The sequence below is a fragment of the Homo sapiens genome, chromosome 12, assembly GCF_000001405.40.
Source record: "Homo sapiens chromosome 12, GRCh38.p14 Primary Assembly".
Classification (NCBI taxonomy): Eukaryota; Metazoa; Chordata; class Mammalia; order Primates; family Hominidae; genus Homo; species Homo sapiens.
The window spans coordinates 38,077,618-38,087,098 of record NC_000012.12 but is presented as its reverse complement, the minus strand read 5'-3'; the positions used below and the strand labels follow the sequence as shown (position 1 = coordinate 38,087,098).

Sequence of the window (9,481 nt, the reverse complement as noted above, 5' to 3'; positions counted from 1 at the left end):
TGTGGGGGATGTATATCCAGGGTGGCACCACCTCACAGCCAGAGTCCACCTGACTGCAGGCCAGCAAGAAGCCCAGGCAGCTCAACTCTAGACACTTGGCCTCATCACCTCTGGATGCACTTTCTATGTATACTTTGCACTAAGGTAGCAAAAAGAGGTCAACAGTAGCTGTTGTGACATGAAAGTCTATGCCCCATTAAGACCTTCTAAAATTTTGTTGTCTTAAGCCCCCTTTCTTCTAATAAAATTTTTGCAAATACACAAATACAAGCCTGAAACTACTCTAAATGAAATATTAGGATATTTAAACCCATAAATAAACAGACGAACATGAAAACAGTCACTGTTTGGTTGCAGAGAAAGTGGGAGTCTAAAGTGGCTGACCCCAAAATGGTCTCACCAAGCCCCAGGCAGGCCAGGCAGTCTGAAAACTACAAGGCCACGTGATGGTCACAGAGGATGACAGATCCCATGAGTACTTGTCAGGCAGTGTGTTAGTACTCACAGAGTTTCAGAATGCCTCCTCCCCAATACCCTGTGAGGGGAGGCCCTGCCTCACTAGAGCACAGGAGGTTCCTGAGCTCTTCCCAGAAGATGGTTATCAAAGGGTGGAGCTGGGGGCAGCCCATACAGAACATGTGAGTCCCCTGGGTCTCCCTACCCTCACTCTGCTCCTCCACATGGGGCCCTGAGAGGAATTGAGCAGCCTCCTAACCCCCTTGATAGGATTCCAGTCATGCAGGTCTGGACTCTCTCATTTTGTGGTACCATAGAGGGTGACAATGCAACCCCAGACCCCTCGTTTTCCATCCTTCCATTCCAGGCCAGGCCTAAAGGCCTTTGCTGACACAGCCCAGGGGGTGCTTGAGGCCCATCTCGGCATAGTCACCCATAGTGTTGTGGAATGAGCAAAGAGGTGCAAGTAGGCGTAATCCCCATGGGTGTGGCCTCAGGCATGTTCTACAGGCTCAGGACCTCCCTGATGAGCTCACAATCCTCTTTAAGGAAGCCTGCAGAGCACACACCCAGGAAGCAATGCTCAGATGAGCAGACAGTCCCCAGATCCCCCACCCCATGATGCTCTGTCCCACTTTGCAGAGCTTCTGCATTGGCCAGATTGGCCAGTCCCCACTGTTTCTGGTGAGATGTCCGAGTTGAAGTGAGCGTTGAAGGCCATAGAGTTGATGGAGCTGACTGCCTTGCACATGTTGTAAATCACCTCCTGGCTCCAAGGGTCAGCTGTGGTGACACCACTTGATGGGAGGTAGAACCATGCCACCATCAGTGTGGCTGGGCTGCCCTGATCTACGCACTCCAGCTCCTTGCAGAGATGTCTGCCTGCTTCTCTCAGGGGCTGGGTCATAAGCCACCTCTGGCAAGGACCAGCTGGCAGGACAGGCTGGGCACTCTCCCCCAGCATCCTCAGCAGCCCTGCCTGTGCTGTCACCTGTGCTGATGATCTCCAAGGTAAGATTAGGAGAAATTTTTAAGGCAACTTCTTCCCCCTGATTTCTCTATCTTAATAACAGCACTGATAACTTTTAAGCCCTAGCAAGCTGAAACTGTAAGACAAATGAGCTCCTGCCTTAGAAGGGCCAAGATTGGGGAGTGTGTGTCCAGGTGAGAGCCCAATGGTTGTTAGTGAAGAGGAAGAGCTGGATGGCCCTGGCCACTTAGCCTAGTGAAAAGTAGGGCCTTCTCCTTCCAGAGAATCAAAGTCTCAAAGGCCAGAAAAAGATGCTTGGGTGGTCTGCCAAGAAGCAGAAGGCTAGAAGGCCTTGCAGGGGACCCCAGACAGCCTTCAGGGTGCCTGAGAGGGCTGGGCTCATTTCTGCTTTCCTTGCTTTCATCCTGTCAGCAAGAAAACCTGCCTGCAGATAGTAGATGGGCCTGAGGCTGCCAGTCAGTCGAGGCTGTAGGCATTTTGATTGTTGTTCTTTCTTGAAGCAGCCGCTAAGGCCGGTTCTTGCAGAATAGTTCCCTCATTGTCTGCAGCTCCTTGTTTCAGTCCTCAGTCTGCAGAGGGACCAGGGAGAGAGGCAAGGGCTCAGCCTGTGCCCCACAACATGCTCTGAGAAGTCTTTTTTTTTCAGACGGAGGAGAAGTCTCTTTTGTTACCTCCCTATGGACAGCCTCAAACTTCCAAATGAACAGACCAGCAAGGAGCCTCCAGGAAAGTGCACAGCATTCTGTCTAGTACCCAAGAGGAAGGGGGTTCCCACTGAGGGCAGGACCAGGCTGCATGCACCTGTTCAGGAATGTTCTCCTCATAGTCCAGCCTCAAGGTTTAGGCATTCTCTGTGTGCATGGAGTCCATGACAGCCTCTGCCTGGGAAGCTGTCCAGCTGCACACCTGGAATGGAGTGGTGACCTGGGAGAATGGGTGGTGCTGGACCTTGTGGAAGGCAGGGAAGAGGGAGATACACAGCCCATCAAGCCCAGAACCCTGCCATAGGCTTCTTCTCTGAGACTCCCATCTGCTCTAGGATCTTCTCGCCCTAAGAAGCTACCCTGAGGTCAGATAGAAGCAAATGGGCACCACTCCCAGGGATGCCCCCTGTCACACTGACAGCTCCCTAGAGGGGACTCACGCAATGGGGACAGATTGGGCAGAAGCTCTGGAGTTTCAGCTGGCTGGTTCATCTCATAAGCCCCTGTGACATGACACAAGTCAGGGACAGATGAAACAATGACATTACATTTTCTTTCTTTCTTTTTTTTTTTTTTTTTGAGATGAAGTCTCACTCTGTCACCCAGACTGGAGTGAAGCAACGTGATCTCGGCTCACTGCAACCTCCACCTCCCAGGTTCAAGGGATTCTCCTGCCTCAGCTTCCCGAGCAGCTGGGACTACACGCATGCATCACCATGCCCAGCTAATTTTTTCATTTTTAGTAGAGATGGAGTTTCACCATATTGGCCAGGCTGGTCTTGAACTCCTGACCTCTTGATCCACCTGCCTTGGCCTTCCAAAGTGTTGGGATTACAGGCATGAGCCACCTCACCTGGCAACCTTACCTTTTCTTTCATGGCATGACAAAGTGTTTTGTGACATTCAGTCTGCTGTACTTGAGCAGCTCCAGTGGGGAATGGCTTAGGAAGCAGGGGCTGGTGGGCTTGGGGTTGAGTGATAGGCTGTAGACCTACAAGGAGGAAGTGGGCACTGAGCAAATGCCCTGGTTGTCTTTCCACAAACCCAGGACAAGTGGCATCCCAGGAGCTTGTAGGGAGCCAGCAGAGACTCACTGGATCCAGTAAGAGCCCCACGTGGATGCAGTGATGCTGCCCTTCTGGTCTTTGTCTGTAATTGCAAAGAGGTACATGAGGTCCCCTTGCATCTTGCAGTTACCAGGAAGTGGGTTCCAGTTGCTCATGCTAGGCACTTTTAGGCACTGAAAGTGCTTCAGGAATGGCCAAGTAGAAATAAGCTCTCCACCTCACCGAGGACACTTTTCCTTGCTCTCTTTGGGAGTTCCACCTTCCAGTCATGGCTCTGGAGATACAATGGCCCCTCCTGGGTCCCTGGCAAGATGTATTCAGGTGGCACACAGTGAAAGAGGCTCATCTCCAAGCCATTCTTTCACTTCCCACTGTTTGAGGGACTCGAGGCTGATGGTCAGCACAGGGCCAACCAGGGCCAGATATCTCCACCTAAATTTGACCCTAGTTTGAGTGCCTCCAGGCCAGACCCCTCCAGGTGGGAAAACCTGGTCCTCAGCCTCTGGCCTCCATGCTCCCTTTCCTTCTTTTTCAATTCTGGCCCCAATGTCTCCCCCAAGTGTCAGGTAATTGGAGAAGATGCTCAGAAAGAAGAAGCAGCTTTAGTCAGTCCTGCTGAAGGCAGCAGATGGGACCAAGCTCTTGAGCTGGTCTTGGACATGGTTCAAGTGGAAGCAGGCCTTGAGCAGTGTGTGTAGCTCTTTCAGGGAGAGGGAAGTAGGATGTTACCAGGGCCCTATACCTCCATCAGCACAGAAAATAGTTTACAAGATGCTTTCATGGGTGATTTTATTTTTAAACTTTAGGCTTCCATTTTCAAATTCCATAATGAACACATAAGGTGGGGTTCTAATTTCAACACACATACAAAAACAAACACACACACACTCCTGTCTGCTAGTGGACAAGGAAACTTTCTTACAAAGAATCTTCTGCCCAATGCCTCTGAAGCACACGTGGGTCTTGGGGAGCCGACAAGGCTAACTGCTTTTCGTGCCCTAGTGTCTTGGGTAGACAGAGCCTTTAGAGCTGTCTTTTTGGGCAGCCCTCATGCAGGGGTGTGCTGAGGACTCCCCAGAGCCTCCAACTTCAGCACCCTCTTCCAATGTGTGTTTCATTGGATTTTAATGGTGGCTGTTTTGGGAAAGAGGAAAGGTTCTGTGATCAATTATGGGCACCATTGAGCTACAAATCGTTTCCATAATTGCTCTTAGAAAGCAGGTAAACCCTGGGAACATGAATGGCTTTTCTCCAGGGAACATGAGTACTTGAGAGATTTTGCTTTACAATCAGGCGAATCTCACCACAGCAGTTGGTGGTGCTGCACTGGGCAGACTTCCCCACTCAAATACTGTGAAGCTTTTTAAGTTTTTTTTTCAAGGCATCATTTATCATTACAGAATTTGATTGGGCTGATATCAAGCCTGCCTTGGTACTGCCTGATTTTTTTAGAATCACAACTCTGTTCTTTAACTTATGGGCTATGAAGTTATAAGGTGCTGGTGTGACAGCCTGAGAAGGAAGCCTGTGCTCCAATCCTATATTCACGTACTCATCCGGGATGCAGAGACCTCAGAGGAGTGGGGAAGTGCTGCCTGGCCCTGCTTTTGGAGGCCATCCCCAAGGCAGTCCACCCAACTTCCAAACCAGCCTTCCCTCACGCACAGCCCTGAGCCCTCCTGCAGCTCCTCAGTGCTTCGCAGCCCTGGGAAGTGGTTTGGCATGTTGCTGTCCAGGTGCAGTGAGAAGCAGGTGCAGTGACACATGTCTTCATGGACCATGAGTACCGGGTAAATCTCCTGCACGATCTCCTTAAGTGACACCTGTAGGGAGAACGCCCCAACAACTCTGATGAGAAACCACATGGCTAGAAGCAAGGACTTACACTTTCCGCAGCCCAAAGTCCTGAGAATCATGCCAAAAATTCTCAGTTTTCCAATTTTTCAAAATTTATTTTTTTTAGAATCCCAGGCCCCGTCTATACATGACATGCCTACTTGCACCTGTCTGTGTGTGCAGAACAAAGCCTGGCCACACTGACTATTCCTGCAGACCAAGAAAAATCCCTATGCAGAGTAGGGGGAGATGGAAGAACTAAGGGAGACAAAATGGCAGCTTTGCCTCCTCTCTTGCCCAGTGCTAAGGTCTCCAGTGCAAACAGATTTTGCCTTCAACTTCGAGTTAACAGCATACAAAATGTACTCATTTTTACTTTCCCTACTTTCTTATTAATGTTACAAATTATATCTCTCTATATTGTGTGTATTTTCACAGAGATTTAAGAATTTTATGCACCATTATTATTACAATAGCAAATTTTATATCTGTGTATATATTTACATTTAACAGAGAGTTTTATATTTTCATATGGTTTTATGATGCTGTCCAGCAACATTTAATGTTTCAACATAATTGACTCTCTTCAGCATTTTTTTTCTAAGGTTATTCTAGTAGTAAACAACCTTAGATTTTTTATTTCAATATTTGAAAGTATTTATTTTTTCTAATTTTTGAAGTACAGTTTTTTCCAGATCAATTATTCTTGGTTGCTAGTATTTTTTGTTTCATCACTGAAATGTGTAAAGTTCTCAGCATCCCCTCTTTTTCCCCCAAATAACACTTCTGCCATTTTCTTCCTATATTATTTCTATAAGAACCTTTCTCTGAATATATTGGTCTACTTGATGGTGTCCAGTAAGTCTCATATTTCACCCTTATTTTTCTCATTCTTTTCAAAAATTAGTTTCCAGGCCTAAATATTTGTGAATAATACAGGCTTAATTTCCTGATTCATTTTTTGCTCCATTGTTTGCTGTTGTGTCTCTGTAGGGAATTTTTAAACCTCACTTATTGTATCCTTCAACTCCACAATTTCTGTTGGGTTTTTAGAAAAAGGTTTCATCTCTTTGTTGATATCACATTTTGGTCATTTATTATTTTAAATGCTATTCAATTGTCTATTTTTGTTTTATTTTTGTTCACTGAGAATGCTTAAGTTGATTATTTTGAATTCTTCATCAGATATGCAAAAATCTTCATTTCTTAAGATTCAACTTCTGGATATTTATTCTGTTTCTTCCAGTGAAGCATATTTTCCATCTTCTCTGTATGCCTTGTAATTTTTTTATAAGATCTGGAAATTCATACAACATCCTTAAAATCTAGCATTTAAAGACTGGCACCGCTGGGTGCGATAGCTTATGCCTGCAATCCCAGCACTTTGGGAGGCCGAGACGGGCAGATTACTGGAGGCCAGGTGTTTTGAGACCAGCCTGACTAACATGGCAAAACACCGTCTTTACTGAAAATACAAAAAATTAGCCTGGTGTTGTGGTGCCCACCTATCGTCCCAGCTACTCAGGAGACTGAGGCAAGAGAATCGCTTGAACCTGGGAGATGGAGGTCGAAGTGAGCTGAGATTGCACCACTGCACTCCAGCGTGGGTGACAGCAAAACTCCATCTCAAAAAAAAAAAAAAAAAACAAAAAACAAACAAACAAAAAACAACTAAAAAACCAAAACAAAACAAAACAAAAAACTGGGTTAGTAAAGCGGGGGATACTGACAGCAATCAGCGAGGCTATGGATTACAGATTCTGGTTGCTTCACAGACGCATTCTCAGATATGTCTTGTTTGGATTTGTGTGTATTTCTAAGTTAAAGAGAATTAGTTTCATTGTTTTTAGATTGATTACCTGTTTTCTTCCTCAGTTGACTCTCTGTGGTGTTGCAGTTTCTCTAGTGCTGTAACCCAGCATTCATCTTTCTTCTCATCCGACACCACTGTCATCCGTATGACCCCATCATGTCCTTCAGCACTCCATGTCAGGAGAGAGACAATCTAGTCATTAGGCAATCTCTCAAAAAGACAAATATTTCAACACATATTCTACAGTTTAAAATCTCTCCTGAGGAAGATGCTGGGAGTTGGGCATTTTCTGGTGAGCCCAATTACTGTTGTGGGGAAGGAAAAAAAAAAAAAACTGTGGTGGACAGTCTGTAGCAAAGAAAAAATTCCTGGAGTGTGAAAAGAGAGGAGGCAAAAGCCATATACAAAGCAAGGTGAAAATAAATGAGCAGGTAACACATAGGAGAGGTCCAAAGGTCACAGAGAAGGCGAGAGTTTAAATGTGGTTTGGTCATCTCTGCTCCAATGGAAATTGTTTTGGAAAAGACTAGTTTTATTTATCTTGCTGTCACAGAGAAACATGTTCCTGTCCCATGCTTACTATGCTCTTCAATCTTCTACAGCTTATTTTCTCCTTCCCAGACTCTTCCAGTGCATTCACACTAAAAATCAAAGTCCTCCCAGAATCTTTAAGAACCTACAGGATCTGACTAGTTTTCATTACTTTTGGGAATCTGGGGAAATCTGTGCACATTTCTGGAGACCTCTATGTTATGCTATTTTTTTTTTTTTTTTTTGAGATGGAGTGTCGCACTGTCACCCAGGCTGGAGTGCAGTGGCGCAATTTCGGCTCACTGCAAGCTCCACCTTCCGGGTTCACACCATTCTCCTGCCTCAGCCTCCCGAGAAGCTGGGACTACAGGTGCTCACCACCACACCAGGCTAATTTTTTTTTTTTTTTTTTGTATTTTTAGTAGAGACGGGGTTTCACCGTGTTAGCCAGGATGGTCTTGATCTCCTGACCTCGTGATCTGCCCGCCTCGGCCTCCCAAAGTGCTGGGATTACAGGCGTGAGCCACCGCCCCCATCATGTTATGACATTTTTTAATAAATCTGTGGTGCTTCAAGTCAGAAGTGTATGAGGGGAGTTGTGGAGGCATTGGGAGGCATTGGGATTTGGTTTAGAAATTCCAGGAAGAGTAGTGCAAAAGGCGTGTGAGCAAGGTGCTCGGAGACGTCGCGGCAAGCTGTCGTTGCTTCTGAACAGCCTGCTCACCGGTACACCAGGGGTTGGAAAAACCACACTAGGCAAAGAAGTTGCATCAGTATCAGGACTGAAATACATTAATGTGGGTGATTTATCTTGAGAAGAGAAATCCTATGATGGCTATGATGAAGAGTGATTGTCCCATTTTAGACGAAGACAGAGTAGTTGATGAGTTAGATAACAAATGAGAGAAGGTGGAGTTATTGTTGATTACCACGGTTGTGACTTCTTCCCTAAACGCTGGTTTCATATAATTTTTGTGCTGAGAACAGATACCAATGTATTGTATGAAAGACTTGAAACAAGGGGTTATAATGGGAAAACTCTAACAGACAATATTCAGTGTGAGATTTTTCAAGTTCTTTATGAAGAAGCCACAACATCCCACAAGGAAGAAATCGCGCATCAGTTGCCCAGCAATAAACCAGAAGAGCTAGAAAATAATGTAGATCAGATTGGCCGGGGGCGGTGACTCATTCCTGTAATCCCAGAACTTTGGGAGTCAGAGGTGGGTGGATCACGAGATCAAAAGATCAAGACCATCCTGGCTAACACCGTGAAACACCGTCTCTACTAAAAATAATAATAATAAAAAAAATTAGCCCAGATGTGGTGATGGGCGCCTGTAGTCCCAACTACTCAGGAGGCTGAGGCAGGAGAACGGCGTGAACCCGGAAGGCGGAGCTTGCAGTGAGCCAAGATCGCGCCACTGAACTCCAGCCTAGAAAAAAAAAAGAAAGAAAAGAAAAGAATGTAGATCAGATCTTGAAATTGATTGAGCAGTGGATCAAAGATCATAACTCTTGACTTATAAGGCCAGCTACTTTATAATCACTCTTGTTGATATCGCTCTGCCGACATCATGGAAATTGTTCAAGTATATCAGTAACACTTTATTAAAATCATGCTGCAGGACTAGCAAGTGGATAATATATAGGTTTATGCCTGTGTTTCTTTTTCTCCATGAGAAACCTAAACATCTGAAATATAATGAATAAATATTATTAAGGATTGAGACAAAAACTGTAATTTTAATACTCAAATTGCTAAAGAATAAATCAATCTGACAAAATGAGTGGATATCTTTTAAGTTTATTACAGAAAAAAATGCAGACGATCTCTTAAAATAAAACTAAAGACTAAAGAGAAAGCATCAGAGTATTTTTTCTTTCTTTAAATTAGAAAATAGGGGAAGTGTTGTACTCTATACAAAATTCAAAAGGTACAAAGGAGCATATTGAAAAGTTAGGTCTTCCTTCCAGACCACCATATCCCCAGGCATTCCAGGATCTTTCACTTTAGGAAATAATGGAACTTATTTCCCATATGTCTTTTCAGAGTTTTTATGCCTGGACAGTGTATATGTAT

The 9,481-nt window shown here is 45.1% G+C and overlaps 2 pseudogenes; one reads left to right on the top strand and one right to left on the bottom strand.

The window, feature by feature from the left end:
* Positions 1–446: 446 nt before the first annotated feature.
* On the top strand, positions 447–8,920 carry AK6P2 (adenylate kinase 6 pseudogene 2; annotated as a pseudogene).
* CLUHP8 (clustered mitochondria homolog pseudogene 8) lies at positions 3,017–5,053 on the bottom strand (annotated as a pseudogene).
* Positions 8,921–9,481: the final 561 nt, after the last annotated feature.